We start from the raw sequence: 21,798 nt of genomic DNA, 5'->3' as shown, positions 1-21,798 counted from the left end.
ACAATTCAGAGGCTACTTTCATTACATTCATTTTTTTAAGACAATCTTTCACAATTAATTTATAACTTAAATGAGGTCCCTTAGATATTTATAAACTTTTTAACATTTTAATGGCTATTATTAATAATTGAAAATTAGTTAAAATGTGTATGCAGTGAATTTTTAAAAACATTTTAATAGATATATAACATTATGACAGACTTAATTTATTCATCTCTCTGGTGAGTCATCTCAAATTAGTCATATGTCCTCTAGTGATAATTACAAATTTTGGAAACTGCTTAGCTATATTTTATGATTAATTACCTGTAGTAAGTTAAAAGTATGCTAAAATAGAAAAACATTTAAATGTGAATAAAACACCTATGTGTTTCATACGTTTAACATTGTATTTCATACTTTAATAAAAAATGAACATGTATAAAATGTCTGTTAGTGTAGACTAATGAAATATAAATATCTGCATCACAATTGAATGCAAAATTATGAAATTATAGCTATATATTTAAATAACATCCTTTTTATAAGAGAAGAAATATTTTTTATGGTTGATCCTTCTTATATGGTAAAATATTTCTAAACAATGCTTTCATATGCCTTGACTAATTAATATTATTATTAAATTAGAGAGTTTGCCCCTAACAGAAGTGTTTCCTTTTCCTTTACATGATTTTTTTTTATAACCCCTTAAAAATGAATGAATTGTGAAGAGCATTCTCGAGTGGGCTACTTCAGCCCTGGCAGATGGCAGGCTGCTGGCAACACTGCTAAGAACCACAAGTAGGTTTAGCGTTTTCCTTCCAGATCCCAAAATGATGAGCACCACCATGGGAGTCCTATCCTCACAGGGTGAAGTGTTCAGTCTTCACAGACAACAATCTTGGACCTAGCAATTTGTAATTAGCAAACTTAGGTAATGAAGAAAGAAAGTAAACATTCTTTAGACATGGGTGTAGAAAAGAAAGAACAAACTGGCCGTCTTGTTACAGGAGATCAAAAATCAATATCTTACTTCTGAAAAGGGGAAGAAGACAAGAAAATTGATGAGGAACTGGAGTTTCAATATCAGCCAGGTGTCAATAGTCAATTTTCAGGAAGGGACAGATGACACTGTGAACTTGGCTTTAGTGAAGTACATCATGATGAAGAAGGTGATGTAGCTGGAGAGGCTGCTGCTGCTGACCATGATGAAGATGATGATGATGATGAAGATGATGATTATGATAATGTGAGGATTCATCTGATTCTAAAAATCCAGATGACTCTGAAAATGACTTATTCAGGAAAAGAAGAATCTGTTGCAGGACTCCAAGCTGCTGAGCACCCCGAGGAAACAGAGGATTCTCAAAACAAAAAAGTTGCCAAAAAAATTATAAAATGATGTGTATTAAATCCAGTGGTTCATGACTCCACTCATAACGCTTTGTATTCAAAATTAGCCTTAATGTTATACTGCACAGTGGAGCACTGCTTATAGGCACAGGCCTTTGTGTTATAATGTTAGAAGGGCCTTTTAAAATAATTACAAAGTATGTTTGCTTTCAGATGCCAAGGATTAAAATTTTATGAGCAAGACTATCACCATTATTATAAAGAGTAATAGTTATATAAAATAAGAAGTAAATACAAAACTCAACTTCCAAAAAATGCACTTCAATCCCACATAAATTTAAAAGACTACACATATATAGTCATATTAATCAAGTTAAGCTTAATTGCTAAATCAAACATGGAAACAAGACCAACGTTCTTGAAGTTACTACAGAATTGCAACATCACTGGTCCAATAGAATTAAATATAAACTGGGGAAATTTACTGACCACAGAAACATTAATACAATTAATGATTTATTCACCTTCAACTATTCATGTTTTAAATAGTTCTAAAAAATTGTAGCTAATATACATTAAATGCATGCTTGGGAGATAAACAAGTATAATACAAAAAAATAGATTTTAAGATGAAAAAATAGCTTGATGATGAAATTTATTTTTTAAAAAACACTGATGTATGACAGAAATCATTTTTAGGGAAATATTGCTGAAATGCTAATCATAAATATAAATAAGTCTACCTCTAATATAAAATTTACTGTTTTTTATTTAAGCTCCTAGGAATGTCTTGCTATTTATTATCACTATATTTATTAAAATGTGCTGAGTTTATTTCCATTAACATAAGATATATTGTTTATAACAGAAACTCATTTATATCTAATTCTGTTGGTTTCTGAAGTAGTTTAGGTTCTTAGTAAAGACCCTCAGGAGTAATTGTCTGCAGCACAAGACTATTATGCCATCTAGCATGTTTAACAAGACACATGACTAAAATATCAATTATGCCCCAAATCAGTGCTGAGATCAGTTAAAGAAATCAGCTTAGCAACTTTCCCCATAATGCATGTCTCCAGACAACACTCTATCTAAGTAGCAAATATTTGCTGTAATTTTTTGGTATTTACAGAATCCAATAAGCAATGGATTCTTTGATTCCATTTTGTTTTCTGGAGTACATATAAATTAGGAAAATCAGCACTAAGATGACACATGGCCAGTCATGAATAAAAATAACAAAATTAGATGCAGCAACACTTTCTAACAACTTAAAAATCAACTTCGAATGCAGCGATTTTCTTTGCTTGTATTTTCAAGGCCTCCATCCACTCCTGCTTTCAACTGTTTTCTTTAGGACTTCATTATGTTCTTTGGGAGACTATTTCACACTCTATTAGTTACAGTCAATTTCATCGCATCACTTGAAGTATAAATGCCCACAGTTCTCTGCACCTCTTAAAACTACATCTCTTCCTTCTTGGTATTTAATAACCGGTAGCCTGGCCCTTGAATTAGGGAATAATTTTACCCCTTCTGCCCAAATAGTCTTAAGTGAGGAAAACTCTATTTGTCAATTTTAAATTCTATATTGTATGAAGATAAGTTGCATATCTATTTTATAAAAGAAAAAAACGTCCAAAACTTAATAATAAGGAAAATAATATGGATCACGCATCCTTTCAGTTTTATATAGAGGTAAAAGCTACACAAGGATTGTCCAGGAGAATGTACCTGGTTCATTTTACTGTTAAAGGTCACAGATTTATTTACTTGTTAATTTGCAGAATTTGTCCAATAAACGTGGAAACAATTTGTCTGCTAGGACAGATAACCCCCAAAATTCATAAACTACTGAAAATTAAAGAGTTTTATATCCAACTCAGCAATCTTATACTAAATTTTCTTTGATAAATTGACTACAAATAACCTAACTTCTTAAGTGTTCTTTGAACCAGTCGTAACATCTTACAGGTTTCTTTACTAATAAATGAGTTAAATAAAATATTTGACACGTTTATTTTATATTTGCCTGAAGGACTTGATTTTGCTGCTTTTGAAAATTATATTTTAACCTATGCAATAATTAAAATCCCTCCAGGTAATATGAGGAGTACGTTAAAGTCACAGAGCCTATCCATAATCTTACTAAGATAATCAAACACTGATCTAAAGCTATATTATTAGCATTGCAGTCGGAGGAGACTGATTGAATTTGCCTTTGATATATATCTTACTTTGTCTTAGTCATTGTCTTTCAAGTACTTTACAGTTGGCAATATGATAGATGAATGAGTTTTAAAAATCTGTTATTTCAGTAAAATAATAGAGTGTAGCATCATTAAATGCATTTACAGTCCTAAGACCTCATAAAAAATGATTTTACACAATAATCTAGGTATATTTTATTTAAAAGTGTATCACATACCAATACCAACATACATGTTATTTAATAAAATTCTTAAATGCTATATTCAAGAATTTGTTAAATACCATATCCTCAGACATTTACAATGATACCTATCCAGCCAGTTGTAACTTTTTATTAAGAAAATTATATTGCTTCTCACTTCTAAAAAAAGATGTTTCTAATACAGCATCAACATATGGGTTGTTAAACACTACCTTGATTGTATGTCATTATATTTATCTGTTCAAAAATGTTATTTTTGCAGTAAAAAACATAGAAATGTAGAAAAATATAAAGCATGTATTAGCAGGTGAAATGAGCTCGAGTGAAATATGAGGCAACACAATATGGGACTGTACAAACTATATTAAGTTCATAATTATTTCTAATACTTGCCACAAAAATAGCAAATATAAATATCACCTATAGAAGCAAACATGAACAATTGAAAGAAGTTGAATAGTACCATTTACTTTGAACTCATCAAAGTAAAATTTAAAATCTCCATTCATATCATTAGTATTTATACCCATATATAACTTATTTTACTTAGAAATAGTTGCTTTAGGTGTTCATAGTTTATTCATATATTTGTGATGACCTAAATGTTGTCTTTAGGCTCCTTAAATAAACTTATGTTCATTTGGGTTATTTGAGATAGAACATTTCTAAAAAATATCATCTGCTTGATTTTTGCCTGGGTACTGCTTCAGAGAAATCATTTCCAGGTGCTTAATATAAAAAATACTAAATAATATTATCATAATTCCATTTCAGATATAGATGGATCAGAGTAAATAAAAGTTATTTCCTTCATCTACTTTCCCAATATAAACTAGATAGCCAAACTCACCAGAATGAGGCTTAAAATTAATGAAGCTTTTAGAAATAAGGCTGCAAAGAAGGCTCTCAACTCACTTTTAAATCTCCAGGTATATTGTATTCCTGTGGTTAAATGTCTAGCAAGCTGATTTAATTGCATTCTAAGCCTTAAATTATCTGTGTAGGTAATTGAGTAAAGAAATTATTATATTCTCCAAGTGACGTAAATGCAGCTAAACAAAACGTTTTCCAGGAATGCTTAAAATTTTTCTTTCTTCAATGTGCTACAAATATCTGTGATACCATGACTTGGCTGATGGTAGTAGATATCAGCAATAGGATTAATTTTTTTAAGGTGTGGTTGTAAAAATAGATACAGAGAAATCAAAGTTTGTCTGAATTGAAAATTGTATAAAACAAGGAAAGGACTAGAGCTTCAGAGTTTATGAGCAGGCTATGGGCTATATTACTCAACTTTTCATTCCTTGATAAGCTTTATTTTTCATATTTTTCAGTGAACAGTATCATATACACAGAATATGTTCAATTCATATGTGCAGAGTTCAAATAGTTATCACAAAATAAGTATACAAAGATGATTAGCACCAAATTCAAGAAAAATAGCTAGTATTGCAACCACACCAGAAGCCTCTCTCATGCTCTTTTATAATAGCGACCCTTCCTTTATCACCAAAGGTATTTTCTCTGTGAATTATAATAGCCATGATTAATTTTTCCTACTTTGGAACTTTAAATCAATGAAGCATAAATATACATTTTTGTCTGGTTTCTTTCACTCAATATATGTTTGCAGAATTGATTTATGCTACTGATTTACCAGCAGTTATTTCATATTTCTTGTTATTTTGGAGGTTTTCACTTTGGGGCTAGTGAAAATAATGCTGCTCTTAGCAAACATAGACAAACAAGAACATATCAAACTCAAAAACTTCTGTACATCAAAATAAACAGTCAACAGAGTAAAAAGGCAACCTGCAAAGAAAAAATATTTGCTAATCATATCTGATAACAGATTAGTATCCAGAATTTATAAGGAACTTCTGCAACTCAGGAACAACAGAAGTAAAGTTGATTAAAAATGAGCAAAGAATGTGAATAGGCAATATCCAAAAGATATACAAATAGTTAATAAACATAAAGATGTTTAACATTACTAATGGTGGGAGAAACACAAATCAAAACAACAATGAGATTATAATGTCACATCTATCAGGATGGCCGCTATCAACAACAACAAAAAAGAAAATAAGTGTTGGCAAGCATGTGGAGAAGTTGAAACCCTTGTGCACTATTGGTGGGAATGGAAAATGGTTTTGTCACTATAAAAAATAGTATAGAAATTCCATGCGATCTGGCAATACCACTTCTGGGTATTTACCAAAAGAATTCAAAGCAGGATCTCCAAGATATAATTGCACACCCATATTCATAGAGTCATTATTTACAATGGGCAAGAGGTGGAAGGAAATCAAATGTCCATCAACAGATGAATAGACAAAGAAAATGTGATATATTCACACAATAGATTATTTGGCCTTCTAAAGAAAAGAAATCCTATCACATGCCACAACAGGACCAAACTTAAGCACATTATGCTAAGCAAATTAAGCTAGTCACAAAATGACAAATACTATATGGTTCTACTCCTACAAAGTATTTGAATTAGTCAAAAGCATAGAAATAGAAAGCAGAAAGGTAGTTGCCAAGGCTGGGGGAGGGACATATGGAAGAGAGGAAGTTAGTGTTACGTATAGAGTTTCAGATGAAAAATTTCTAGAGATCAGTTGTTCAACAATGTAAATATAGCTCCTACTTTTAATTATACATTTAAAAATGGTTATCATGGTAAATTTAATGCTATGTTATTTCACCACAATAAAAATGTAGAAAAAATAATGCTTCTCTGACATTTTTGTGCATGTCCTTTGGTGCACATATGTACACGTTTGTTGGGAATATACTTTGGAATGGAATCCTTAGGTTATAGAGTGTATGTGTGTTAAGCTTTAGAAGACACTGTGTAGTAGTTTTCAAAAAAGAGTTAACAATTTATTGTCTCATCAGAAATAGGATTGTTCTACATCACTGCGAGCACTTGGTATTATTCGTATTTTTAATTTCAGTCATTATGGTTGATTGCAGGCTGTTGTAATAAGATTTCATTTATTTGTTGTGGAATGAGGCTGAGCACCTTCTAATATATTTATTGGCCATTTGGAGATCCTCTTGTGTGAAGAGCTTGCTCAGTTCTCTCATATATTTTTCTATTGGACCATCTGTCTCATTTTTATTCGTTTGGAGGAGATCTTTATGTATATTGAACATGAAACTTTTAAACATTATATATATTACAAATATATTCACCTACTCAAAGATTTGACTTTTCCCTCTCTTAATAATAGTGTCTTTTGATAAATTAGAATTCTTAATTTTAATGAAAGCATTACTAATATTTTTGTTAGTACTGTTTATGTCCTATATTATAATCTTTCATTAAAAATTATGTTATTACCTTTAAGAAGCCTTATTATTTATCATTTATATTTAGACACAGAATTAACCTGGAATTGAAATTTATCTAGGGTGTCAAGTACTGATTGATGATTTTCCTCTGTTTTTGTATGTACATTAGACCCAGCATTATTCACTGAGAAAAACCACTCTTGTCTTACTATTTGCAGCTACATCTTTATTATAAATTAACAGTCATTGTACATGTGTACACCTATTCCTGTAGTCTATTAGACTATTTGTCTGTCATTAGATTATTTGTCTGTCATTGTGCCAATTATCATTTAGTAAAAATAAATGTTGGTATTCAAATTTGTCCTATTTTAAGGTGATCCTATTTTTAGCTTTTAAATTTTTAATATAAATTTAGTCATATAAATTTACATAAACATAACTGATAGGATGTTGGTTGATATTACACACAACCTTTATGTTTTCTACCAAATCAGTCTGTAGCAGAGAACACTAAACACTTAATTTATTGAAAAGGGGCCCAAAATTAAGGGAGAATATATTGTCATTCTCATACCTTATTCAAAAGATGAGTTTCAATAATAGGCAGTAAGTTTCAAAAAGAGATAACACCTCAGAACCTTTGGATCCCTTACTCTCTGGTAATAATAAATATTCATGCCTATCACCTTGATTTGTTCCATACCTCTCCTTAGGGAACAAGAATACTTGGACACAATTCAAAGAACACCATCAGATACCTGAGGTCTAGCTTCTGGTCCCAAATCTGTCATTCAGAAGTGTGTAACTTGACAATTTGTTGAATCTCACTGGATTTTATTTCTGTCAAGAGTAAAATTAACCAGGTACATTTTATTATTCCTAAGATCGTTTCCTTCTGTTTTTTAAAAAAGTTATATTCTTTTAAAAGCATCCTTGGCTTTATTTTAAAATTTTTTCATTTAAAAGTTGATGGACAGAGAGTTCCCCTCCCCCCAGGATATAGAAACACACAAGGGAAGAATGGTTTACCCTAACAAAATATTAAAAGATGGATAAATTATAATATATAGACACACAGGAGGCATGTAAGTGACTACACCTGGGGAACAGGCTCATGTCGCTGAAGCGATAAACTGAAAGAACTTACCAGTTGAAAAGATGGTGGATGGTAGAGTATTAGGTCATTTTTAGAGTTGCTATAAATATCTGAGACTGGATAATTTATAAATAAAAGAGGTTTAACTGGCTCACATTCTGCAGGCTATACAGGAAGCATGGCACCAGCTTCTGCTTGGCTTCTGGTGAGCCCTTGGGGAACTTTTACTCTTGGTGGAAGGTGAAAGAAAGTAGGTGCCATCACATGACCAAAGAGAGGACAAGAAACACAGGGGAGGTCCCAGACTCTTTTAAACAGATCTCATATCAACTAAGTGTGCAAGAATTCACTTATCACCAAAGAGATGGTGCATTCATGAGAAATCTGTTCTTATTCATGAGAGATCTGCTTTCATTCATGAGAGATCTGCTTTCATTCATGAGAGATCTGCTCCTTTAATCCAATCACCTCCCACCAGGCCCCACCTCCAACATTAGGAATCACATTTAAACATGAGATTTGGAGAAGACAAACATCCCAACCATATCAGGTGGTTAGTGATATAATGCCATCATTTACTCTTCTCTCTTCACACTTTTCAATTTGCTAATTAGAAACCATATCCAATTAATTTTAACAGAATACACCTATGTCTAAAAAACAACAATAAAAAGTGGCAGTCCCCTACAGGAGTATGGAAGCATATATTTGTAGAAAAAGTCTAATGAGTATTTCAAGAAAGAAATTAATATCCAAATGTGTTTTTAATAAAATATGTTTACATAGATATTAATTCTAGGATATGCATAAAATTGTAATTAAACCTTTTCAGAAATGTGTATTTTATTTCTTTCTATGATTGAGGGTGATATTATATTTTAGAGGGCATCATTTTAACCAGACTACATAAAAACAGTAATACAAACAGTTCTTAAATACCACATGGAGAGTACATATGTACAGCAATTATTGACCATATTTGTCATGGCGTTAGTATTTTTTTTATATAACTATATTGGTTACTGTCGTTGAGACTACACACAAGGCTTTGATGAAGTGCATACTAAATATGCTATAATAATTGTTTGAAGGTTCTGTTAAATATCACTATGCTTACTAAATCATTTATTGCCAATGTTATGATTTGCAGTAATAAAGTTATGCTATGGTAATTTTTTTGGAAGTTTGCAGCATACGGTGCCATATGCCAAGGGCATACTAATTAATGAGAAAATTAGCACATAGATATTACTTCACAATAATGCATCTAGAGCCAAGGCTTAAAGTGTAACTCAGAAAGCGATTTGAAATGTTAAGGTTAATGTTACATCAAACTTAATATTGATCCATAGTAATGTCCATAGCAATATACAAGCAAAATACTGTGGTCTTTTGAACAATGAGAACATAGAAAGTGTGCCATTTATACAATTACTCAATTGTTCTCTTTCAGATAAGAATTATGCTGAGACATAGCAGTACCTCAAAAAGTGGTGGAGGTAATAAGCTGCAAAGTTGGAACTTGAATCCCGGACCTCAAGCTCCAAATCCAGAATTCCTCACTTTCCCCCCGCTACCTGATACAGAACTGGAGAAAAATAAATTTGATTTAATTAAGTGTAGCAGATCCCAGGAACTATTTTATGTTTAATGATTACTTTCAAGCTTAATTTGCCTCTATTTAAGTGTAACTAACACATAATCTTTAGGATAAACATCTCGGAATTCTTTCTGAATTATCCCCAAATTTTAAGTTTAGGTGTGCATTTGACAATCTGCATTGCTGCCAACAGTAGTTGGAAGATTACTACCTGAAAGCTGAGGAAGTTTGCTTCAGCTACTACATGCCCTTCCTTGTGGTAAATGTGCAAGTCACGGCACAATAATTGAGGAAATAAATGTTGGTGCCTTAAAATAAATGTTGATATTCAAATTTGTCCTATTTTACCCTGGTAAATGTGTAAGTCATGGCACAATACTTGAGGAACTTGAGCAGATAAGTTTGGAGTAAATAACCTGTGTTATAAAATGCACAACACTCAAAATAAAATGAAACACTACAACTATGTACTTTAACTTATGATTCATAGATTTTGTAGGCCAATTCTTTGCTATTGGAAAACACAAAACTTTTCCAACTTTGAAGACTGGAAACAAAACACAAACTGCAAGAAAACATTAAGTTCATCTATATTTGTTCTGTAGGAGGACTCCTTCCTGTAGTTTGCAGACAGTCATGAATCCCCTTAGGTCAACAGCTGTCAACTTCAATTCTCATTTTATCCACTCCTTCCAGTCCAAAGACTTTAGACCAATATTTTTAGGAAAATAAAAGATATTTTCATTTAAGTAGCAAAATCACCAAAACTACCTACCAGAGAAAAACCAAATACTCTCAGAATCGTTGCTGAGGCAGGTTCAGAAGGATTGTTCTGAGAACTACTTTGCAAGTGGAAAAAATGAAGCCTAAGAGACTTACATTAAATAGGGGGTTAAAGTATGTTTAAACACACAAATCGAAAAGCATGACCACTAATAGAACCATGTCATCTTTGTTAAAAATATGAAAATCAATAACAGATTTTATTGCCTCTTCAAAGACCCTTTATAGTGAACTTCGGACCTTAAAAAGCAAATCATTTTAAACAGGCATTACTGATGAAGCTGATTCTTTTCTAAATTTATTTTTTATCATCTCAAGTGCATAGAAATGTTTCTTTCCCTAACTCCCTTATCTGCATTGTATTTACTCTTTTATGCTTTGCATAAACTGTAACAGATTATTTTATAAAATGTATTAAATGCCAACTAATCTATAGACTGGCTAAACAGAATTAATTTTCTTAAAATCTGAATTATGTATGCCCAGAATGTAGTTTAATTGCATCCAATATTAGAAAAAAATCTAACTAACTTCAAATTACAACAAAAAACTACACATGTAAAATCTTTGGGAATATTCCATGAGATATTTAGAAACATCTGACTCCAATTTGGAAAAAAAAAAAAAAAAAAAAAAAAAAAAAATATATATATATATATATATATATATATATATATATGAGATTTGCAACCAGGAGCCAAATTCATTTCGTTCATTTTCAGTCTTTAAAGCTTAATGCATATTTAGAGAAATTGCATAGTTACTTTTGATGTTATTATCTTCAAAACTGTTGCATTAGTTTTTCTTTCAGTCTTTAAGAGTTACACAATGTTTCTTGTATTCCTGAATGGCAAATAACATAACTATATATCCATATTATAATAATGAAAGAAATTCTCATCATATAATTTTACACATTTCTTCCCTCTACATGAAGGCCTCGTGGTATTTTTATGTCTTTTATAGAGCCATCTTCAAAATGGAAAATTTGGATAGATTCTGCAATAGTCCTAGAAATGCTAATCGCCAGTGAATTAATCATCAAGTTAAGGTTTAAAGAGCTGGAAGTAATCATTATAAGAAAAATATAATTGATTTACTATATCTTAAAATACATGTGAGGAGTATTATACAGGAATTGCATTCAGCTGGTAGTCAAACCCTTCCTCCCTGCCAACACAATGCCTTAAACTTACTGTCCATTTTTCTCTCATATACACAAAATTTAGCAGTAGGTGGTCAAGATCAGGTATGGTAACTCTGCAATATAAGCTGCAATCCAGTCTCCTATCTTTTTGCTCCTCCATCCTTAGCATCTGGCTTCTGTCCTCAAGTTTACCTTACAGGTATATTTGGAGCTCCAACCATCACATCTACAGTCCACGAAGGAGGAAGAATGAAGTGAGTTTTCTCAGATGCTGTATCAGAATTTTACTTAAATTCCATGCAAACCCTATTTATGCAAGAGAAAACTATAGCTGTACTTGTTAACTACTGGGCACATTGCCATCCAAAATAACACAGGAGTTCAGTTACTGAAAAAGAAGAGATAGATGGCTGTAGGCAACTAGCAGCCTCCCTCACAGGCTCTTAAACTAAATAGTTGCCAACTGTTATTGATCATCAGTGTAAACAAGATAGCTAGATAAACAGACATTAGCTATTTCATTTACTTTAAGAGAATCTGTAGAATCTCCTTTCTGGAGACCTTAAAATTTTAAGTTATTTTCACATGTATGAAATTTCTTTGATTAAATTTATTTCCTCAGACACTTAGTACAGTATTGAAGAAATCTATTACACATACAAGGAATTCATCTTTGCTTGGTAAGATAGTAAATAGCATGTAAGACAAAATAGAATAAGGCTAAATAGCAATTAGCAATTATGTTTGAGCGATCAAAGGAAAAACACTCGTTCTGCCTGAGGTAATTTTTAAAAGTTTCACAATGATAATAGATTTAGGAGTAGGTATTTATAAATAAACTTAATAAATATCTATAGAAAATATATATTCTTGGTTGAGAAATTGACCCATTAGGTTATTTTAGTCTATTCAGAATATACCTTCTTAACTCCTGACCATTCCTCAAGCAAATGTAATCAACTTTTCACTCCACCATAGTATTCACAATGATCATGCTAATTTCATTCATTTCAATATATTTATTGAAACAATTGAGGAGCATCTAAATAAAACCCCAACAGATATTTATGTTTATATTCACTGTCTCCTTAATATATTGCACTGTTAGATATCCTGTATTTTAACTCCTCCACTCTACAATTATTTATCAAATATCTGATCATTGCTGGGTCTCAGTTTTGAAACCTCCTGCATGACTACCATCATCCTCCTCCCTGCCCAAAAGTAAATAACCAAATACAGCATTTCAGTCATCTTGAATCTTTACAGTTAACCTTTTTGAATGTTCCTGAAATGATTTCTTCACTTGGCTTATGTTGTCTTACAGGGTGTAGTCAACGAGATTGCCTGGGTAAACTCTTAGATGACATTTACATTTCAAGATCATATAAAGACAAAAATGCTATTAAGTCAGAATGAACACAATGTCTTACTAAAATGGGTAAAATTTTATTTCAAGAAACCATGTTCATGACTAGACTGATTACTAAGAAGAAGTAAGTTGGGCATTTATGTCATCTGCGATCTTTGAAATAGCAACAACTGCAAAACACATTTTAAAAAATTAAGATCGATCTCTATGAATGATAAACTGGATATAAGAACTATGTAATGCAAAATGTGTTGTTGCTTAAAAGTCAAGGGAAAGCAGTGAATAAAACCTGCAAGTATCTGTTGGACATTCCCTTAGCATTAGATCGTTGTATAAGCTATTACCAGCTACCACTTTGGTTTGATGGTGCTCAGTGATCCGCCAACCAAAATCCATGCCTAACTTGAGGAATAGAGTGACACTTCTTTTTTTTAAATCCCTTTACTGTGAAAAATTTCAATTATATACAATAGTAAAGAAAATTGTATAAAAGGCCCCAAAGTACCTATTAACCAAGATTTAATAATTGGCAGCTGATAGACAATCTTGTTTCATCTATAACCAGCACCACAAGAACACCACTTACCAAATTATTCTGAAGCAAATCCCTAACATAATATAAAATAACATAATATCTATAAGTATTTTAGTATTTTTTCTAGAAACTAAGAACATTTTAAAAATATAACCATAATATACTTGGAAAAATTTAAAAATTCACAAACATTTTTTAATTCACCCAGCATTCGTATTTCCTGATTGTTCTGATTGCCTCATAGAATTTTAACATAGCATTTGTTCAAATCATAATCCAACTAAATGCCATACATGGCAAATAACAGAAATATCTCTTAAGTCTCTATTAATCTATAAATTTTCTCTACCATTCTTTTATTCTTGCAATCTACAAATGGAAGAAACAGTATTTTTCTTGTAGTTTCCCACAGTTTAAATTTTTCTGACAGCACTCCTCTGGTGTCATCTAACATGTCCTCTGTTACCTATCTTTTCTGTAAATTGATAGATAGAGAGGTGGCACTGATTCAGATTTATTATTTTTTGTGTCAAGGATACTTCATACATGTCAGGGCACAGATCTACCATGAGTAATATAACATCTGGCTGTCTTCTGTTTGCCTGTGTTTGATATTACCACTCACCGATGCTCAGTGTCAAGATGTATTATTTCTGTACTGGTTTCAAAGTGGTCACTGTCAAATTCCATCACGTTTTCTTTATGTATTAGCTATAATACTTCTGTGAAAAGGAACTGCCTCTTAGTAATTATATAGTACAGATGATATAGGAAAGGCAGAATAAGTGCTTGATACTTTCTCATTTGTTTACAAGCATTCACAAGTTTGCTCCTTAGCCTTCTCCAAATTATGAACAAATTATTTTTGTTGCCATTTTAAAGTCTTATATGTAAACATATTTGATATGTTTGCAATCTATTGCAGATATTATCCCAGATAGATGCCCATTTTTAGCTAATGGAAAGCCTCTACATGTTGGCACTAAAGTTCTTGTAACATGACATGCTGCAGTTTAGTTTCAGCAGTTTAAGGACTTCATTTAAATGAAATCACAAAGTATGCAATCTTTTGTGTCTGAATGTTTCCACTCACCACAATGTCTGTGAAATCCCTCCTATTTGTTGAGTATATCAGTAGTTATTATTGTAGAGATGTACCCTACTGTATGAATGTAAAGCAATTAATACATTCAATCACTTGTTAATGGTCACTTTGATGGTTCCAGTTTGAGACTACACTGTGTTATAAATAATCCTGCTTCTAGGAACATATATGTTCATTTCTCTTGAGCAAATAACTAGGAATTGCTAGGTCACATGATAACAGTATTTTTAACTTGACAAGTGTTACTAAACTTTTTTCTAAAGTGTTTTTATACCACCAACAGCAATATATAAGGTATTTCAGTTCCTCTGGCTCCTCACCTGCACATGCACTGTCAATTTTTTTAGTTATATCTATTCCAGAGAATATGAAACGTTAACTCGTTGTGATTTTAATTTACATTTCTTTGATAACTAATGATATTGAGCATTATTTAATGTAATTTTTAGACATTCCTGTAACTTTTTTGTAAAATGCATATTCTAATCTTGCACCATTTTATTTGGGTGTTTATCTCTTTATTGAATTGCAAATTATTTATATAGGTGGTCTCCTACTTATGATGATTTGACTTAGATTTTTTCACTTAATTTATTTATCAGAATATCAAATACATTTTAAATTATGATATTTTTGACTTACTGGTTTGTCAGGATGTAATCCCATCATAAGTCAAGGAGTATATGTACCCGATACAAATGAATACGTGTGTGTGTGTGTGTATATATAATATATATATGTGTATGTATATATATATGTGTGCATATATATATATATATGCACACATATATTTGGAAGAATATTGAAAGTCTGATAAATACCATCAATAACTTGACCTAACTGGCATTTTCTTTTATCAATATGTAATGTTCTTCTATATCTACTTTAATACTCTCTTTGTCTGATATAATATGCCACTCCAGCATTCTTATGGTTAGTGTTTGTATCATATAGATTTTCACACTTTTATTTTTAATTTTTTATATCTTTATGTTTATAATATCTGTCTTGTATATATCATCACATTGAAGCTTGGTTTATATCCAGTCTTCAAATCTTAAACATTTCCGTTCTATTTAGACTATTTTCCTTTACTATATTATTGATATGGCTGGTTTTCACTTTACCAGATTGTTATTTGTATCATTTGTCACACCTATTCTTTATCCTTGTTCAACTCTTGTCCTGTCTTCCTTTTGTTTGACTATTTTAGTATTTCATTTTATTTCCACTATTGGAGGACTGGGCCAATTTGGTTAACAGTATGTTCAAGTCTTGCATAGTTTTTCTAAACTTCTGTCTGCTTGTTTTATTAATTACTGGAAGAGGAATGTTGAAATCCCTAATAATGATGGAAATTACGGATTTGTCCATTTCTCTTTTGAGTTCTATTTGGGTTTTTTCTCCATATGTTTTGAAACTCTGTTATAGTTTTAAAATATCAAAGTCAGAATTTAAAAGTTAGAGAATACCCTTTTATTTATTTAGAACTTTTCAAAACACTGTCTCATCATTACAGCATCAAAATAAACTTGTAAGGTAATAGAAAAAAATATTGATAACACAAAGATGTAAAAACTGAGGCACTACACAGTCACTTTTTGACCTTGAGCAATAATAAACATAGTGAAAATGCAGCCCCAGTTTGTCCCCTCCACCATGTTGCTAACTGATATCAGTAATCACTCTGATCCACACACACTGAGGAACAAAGGCACGTACCTCAAGCTTTCAATCCTCAACAGAGGTCTGTGACCTTCTGCTCATCTAAATAACATCTGCTGCCTTTGCCTCTTTACAATATTATCTATTAATCCCTCATGTTTTCTGATTACATTATGATAGACAGCTTAAAAAGGTAATCCATTCTGTTTTACTTTTTTTCAAAACAACATTTTATGAGTCTAGAGAATTAGAAAATGTTTTGCCACTAAATGTTTTGGCAGACAGAAAGGTGGAAATGGAGTAAATTGCCTAATCAGAGGAACAGAGGTTTGCAGGCTCAACACTAAAGTTTTAATGACAGGGTCTCACTGGGGTCACTCCTCTGATTATAGGCTGTTTTCCTAATCCATTTTCCAGGTTACCTTTAATTCAAAATAAGTGAAACTGAGAATCGTGTTCTGACAAATTTATTTATTAGCTTCCTTTCTGTTGGCTGTCCAAGTTTCAAGACCTGTAATAAGAGACATTCTTGAATAATTCTGCTTAGAAATATATAAGTAAAATAAGAGCTCCAGGCCAAGCCACATATTCCATGGGCAGAGGCATGGGCTTTTCACAAAATCACCACTCCCATTTGTCTTTTAATATAGTTATTTATCAAAATCACATCAATCTCAGAGCATATAAATGAAAGTTAAACAATTATTTTATTACCCATTGTTTTGTTGTTTGTTTGCTTGCAAGGGATTCAGAAAAGGGGCAACTTTGGAAAAATATCTTGGAGAAAAGGCTATGGAATATGGCTGAGTAGTAACATATGCTATTCTCAACACCATTCGTTGCTTCTGGAGAAGGTAAGGATTTATGTAATGAGGAGGCTTAGGATGGTCATCTCAGTTCAATCACACACTGAGAAATACGAAGGACTTTTTTTCAGTGCTTAAAGTTAGAAGCCAGATAGCATTAAGCATAGTAGTCACATGTAACACCAACTGATCAGCCCTGAAAAATAATCCTATAAACCATGGAAGAGGCAAGGAAGGGAAGAAGATTGGTCAATTTTAAGAATAGCAAGTTGATCAAAATAAATTTTAACATTAATAAAAACAAAGTTTTGCATTTCCACTTTTCTTTAGTTACTTTTTCTTTCACTTTTTTTTTCCTCAAATACATGTACATTGCAATTATAATGTAACTAAGAGAAATTTTACTGGACATTGCATGGGCCGAAAAATTTGGAGCTTGGGTTTCACATACAGTGTATAGTAGATTATAGCATACCATTTTCTGTTCAGTGCATATGTATTGATTTCCAAGTTCCCACTATCAATTCCAATTAAGCCATTCTCTTTCAGGCTGTGCCCCCTGATATTTCCAGTCATCAATGCCTGCTGATACAATGATGATGAGTCACCTTCCTCCTAACTACCACCTCTGCTCCTTCTATCAAAATTAGCCCACCATCCCTCAGAGTTAGTGATGGCAGGCTACTCTGGGAATCAACTTTATCTTAACACACTAAAGAGAGAAGACTGTGGTGCACATCGTGCTTTGCCCCAGGTATTACTTCTGTTTTTAGGTCAAGCATGTTCAGTCTAGATTGTACACAGCCCTGCAAATATAGAGACTTGGACGTGAAGACATAGACAATTTTAAGGGACTTAAATTCAGGTGCTATTTCCTAAAACTAATATGTTTGAAAAAGATCTTGCAATTAGGCTTCATGCTATCTATGTCTGCCTTTTAACTTTTCTTTTAAAGTACTTCCTTCTCCAAATTGCAAAAAAAAAAAAAAAAAAAAAAAAAGAGAGAGAGAGAAACAAAAAACAAAGGAAAAGAAGAAAGCAAAGGAAGCAAAGAAGGATGGAAAGATGGAAGGAAAGGAGGGAGAAAATTACCTGCTAATTTTATATCCAAAATTTTTCTGTAATTATCCATTTGTTTGTTTTCTGTGTTATCACAGGACACAACACAGCAGAACCTTTTAATTAGACCTGTGTTCTAATATTAATTTATTCACTTATATTAGGCTGATGCAAAAGTAATTGCGGTTTTGTTAATGGCAAAAACCACAATTACTTTTGCACCAACGCAATAAATTATGTGACTTTATGCAACTCACTAATCCTGGAAGTTTGCAAACATAAAAGGAGTAAACTGTTACAACCGTTTTAGAATAATTACTCTTCAGTTTTCCAAGTCAATGTTCTCTTTCTAAAATTGATCTGCCTGAGAAAACACTACAATTAGGATGTAATTCAATTTCTCTTTTCCAACTTTTTTCATGCATTTATCCTGTGGGACAATCCTGTGAATAAAAAACAGAAGGAACATTGGTAAGACATGTTAAAAGCAATGGAACCTTATTTCATCTAGGGTACGACCTACTCAAGACAAAGTTTAGACCTTATCCATCTATTCATCTTAGAATTCAGACTCAAGATGATTGTCACAAGGAAATATATTAACATGTTTATTTAAAATGAGAAATGAAGTTGGAATTTTTATAAGAAGAAGTAATTTTGATTTGATTGATGAGTTTGACAAAGATAAGTGGCTTTTCCAATGAGGATTTATGGCGAATATTTCCCATAAATTAAATAAACAAAATCAGCAACTCCAAAGGTTTGATAATAATTCATTCAAAACATTAAAATAAAAGAGTCTTACCAAAGCTATTTTATTAGGAAAGTTATGTTGAAATTAACAATACTTGGATTTTTCTAACCTTTCCTGAGAAAATCAGGTTAAACAAGGTACAATTGTAAATGACAAAGTAAAAGTAAAATGACAATTAATGGTGAATAATTTTTGGTGAATTATTTTTATATTCTTTCCAGAAATTAAGGAAGAGGTTGAGTCTACTTTCAGGGTGTCATTTATAAGTCATATTGTATTCTACTCTTTGCTTACATCGAATATGCAAGACATAATTGAATCATCAGCTAATACAGCATCAAAAATAATAACAACTTAAAAGTAATTCAGAAAAATGTGTGATGTATGTATAATAAATTTCCTAATTTATGTAGAAAACATTTCTCAATGTATTCATCTATTTTAAAAGATGAAAAATAGGAATAGATTTGATTTTCAATCCTGTCTTATTATAACATTAAAAAATAATCTTTTAAAAATTTTTTTATTTCAATAGCTTTTGGGGAACAGGTGGTTTTAGGTTACATGGATAAGTTCTTTAGTGGTGATTTCTGAGATTTTGGTGCACCCATCACACAAGCAGTATACACTGTACCCAATATACAGACCCCATATATAGTCTTTTATCTCTCATTCCCCTCCTTCCCTTCCCCACAAATCCCCAAAGTCCATTATATTATTTTTATGCTTTTGCATCCTCATAGCTTAGTTCCCACTTATAAGTGAAAACATACAATATTTGGTTTTCAATTCCTGAGTTACTTCACTTAAAATAATGACCCCCAACTCCATCCAAGTTACTGCAAAAGCCACTATTACCATTCTGTTTTACGGCTGAGTAGTATTCTATGGTGTATATATACCCCATTTTCTTTATCCACTCTTTGATTGATGGGCATTCAGACTGGGTCCATATTTTTGCTATTGTAAATTGTGCTGCCATAAACATGCATGTACATTTGTCTTCTTCATATAATGACTTCTTTTCCTTTGGGTAGATACCCAGTAATGGGATTGCCAGTAGTTCTACTTTGGGGAATGGTAGCTCTACTTTTAGTTCTTTGAGGGATCTCCCTACTGTTTTGCACAGTGGATGTACTAATTTACATTTCCACCAGCAGTGTAAAAGTGTTCCTTTTTTATCACATTCATGCTAACATTTATTATGTTTTTTATTTTTTAATTATGGCCAAGAAAAAATTATTTTTGAGCATATGAATGAACTACGTGAAAAATATAGTCCCTTTTAAAAATTAATAGTTGCATTTATAACAAAAATTGTACTTTATATTATACACATAAATTTAAAAATTTTTATTTTATACATTTATACTTATCATGTTTTATATATGTTACTTTGATCAATTGTGTATTAATTATAATTACAAATATAACTCAGTCTAGGAGAAACATTTTAGCACTCAGAATCTTGGGTTCATAGAACATAATGTAATCCTAGCACTTAATGAGGCTGAGATGAAAGCATTGCTTTATCCCAGGAGTTCTAGACCATCCTGGAAATACAGTAAGAACCCATCTCTATAAAAAATTTAAAAATTAGCTGGTTGTGGTGGTGTGTGCCTGTGGTCTCAGCTACTTGGGAGGCTGAGATGGGAGGACTGCTTGAGCCTGGGAGGTTGAGGCTGCAGTGAGCCATGATCATGCCACCGCACTCTAGCCTGTGCAACATAGTGAGATCTTAACTCAAAAAATATATAAATGTATATTACTTTCTTATAAAATTATCTAAGGCAAATGAAATGTCAATAAAATTTAAGAAATGAAAGACATTATTTAACATTTGTATTGAAAGAAGAGTTTGCTAAAGAATTTTTAAATGGCTAGTTGTGCATATAAAAGTGCTGTGGTAATCCCATTACTGGGTATATACCCAAAGGAATATAAATCATTCTATTACAAAGATACATGCATGCATATTTTTATTGCAGCATTATTCACAATAGCAAAGACATGGAATCAACCCAAATGCCCATCAATGACAGACTGGATAAAGAAAATGTGATACATATACACCATGGAATATTATGCAGCCATAAGAATAAATCAGATCATGTCCTTTGCAGGGACATGGATGGAGCTGGAAGCCATTACCCTCAGCAAATGAATGCAGGAACAGAAAACCAAACACTGCCTGTCCTCTCTTATAAGTGGGAGCTGAACAATGAGAACACATGAACACAAGGAGGGAAATAACACACACTGGGGCCTGTCATAGCGGGGAGGTGGAGGAAGAGCATCAGGATAAATAGCTAACACATGCGGGGCTTAATACTTAGGGGATAAGTTGATAGGTGCAGCAAACCACCATGGTACATGTCCTGCACATGTATCCCGGAACTTAAAATAAAATAAAATAAAATAAAATAAAATAAAATAAAAAAATTTAAGTGCTGTGGTATTTCGATTCTACTGAAATTTAAAAGGTAAAGGTTCTAGGTAATTTTTTTAAGAGATAACATTTAAAATATGCCTTAAATCACATTATTTATTTTTTAAAACATATGACAAAATCTTAATGGCAATTTTTAAATACGTAAAGAGACCCAGACTTTTTCTAAATATTCCGTGAATATACATAATCCAAAATGTGGAAACCTCTGGTCTAAGTAATATGCATCTTCACAGAGGTTTTCCAATCTTCCTGAAGAGTTCAATCCATTAATTAGTCTATCTTATTTTTCTCTCAATCCTTACCATTAACAGAATGCTTGGAAGATATGTGGTGCTCAAAAATATTTTCCAAGATAATAAATAGCATTATAAGC

General features: G+C 31.9%; 2 long non-coding RNA genes and 1 pseudogene across 3 annotated transcripts in view; 2 read left to right on the top strand and 1 right to left on the bottom strand.

The window, feature by feature from the left end:
- LOC100420864 (chromosome 11 open reading frame 58 pseudogene) lies at positions 832 to 1,404 on the top strand (annotated as a pseudogene).
- LINC02830 (long intergenic non-protein coding RNA 2830) lies at positions 7,763 to 10,965 on the top strand. The gene is made up of 2 exons (NR_183377.1): positions 7,763 to 7,914; positions 9,601 to 10,965. It is a non-coding gene; the product is annotated as a long intergenic non-protein coding RNA 2830 (long non-coding RNA).
- A 5,177-nt stretch (positions 10,966 to 16,142) lies between these two features.
- The window catches only part of POT1-AS1 (POT1 antisense RNA 1), a 215,362-nt gene continuing 209,706 nt past the window's right edge, over positions 16,143 to 21,798 (bottom strand). For both annotated transcript variants that reach the window (NR_125718.1, NR_125719.1), the window contains one exon: positions 16,143 to 18,662. This is a non-coding gene — a long non-coding RNA (POT1 antisense RNA 1). The remainder of the gene's footprint in view (positions 18,663 to 21,798) is intronic.

The sequence above is a fragment of the Homo sapiens genome, chromosome 7, assembly GCF_000001405.40.
Source record: "Homo sapiens chromosome 7, GRCh38.p14 Primary Assembly".
Taxonomy (NCBI): domain Eukaryota; kingdom Metazoa; phylum Chordata; class Mammalia; order Primates; family Hominidae; genus Homo; species Homo sapiens.
The sequence above is the reverse complement of the archived record's forward strand: the minus strand, read 5'-3'. Positions and strand labels throughout refer to the sequence as shown.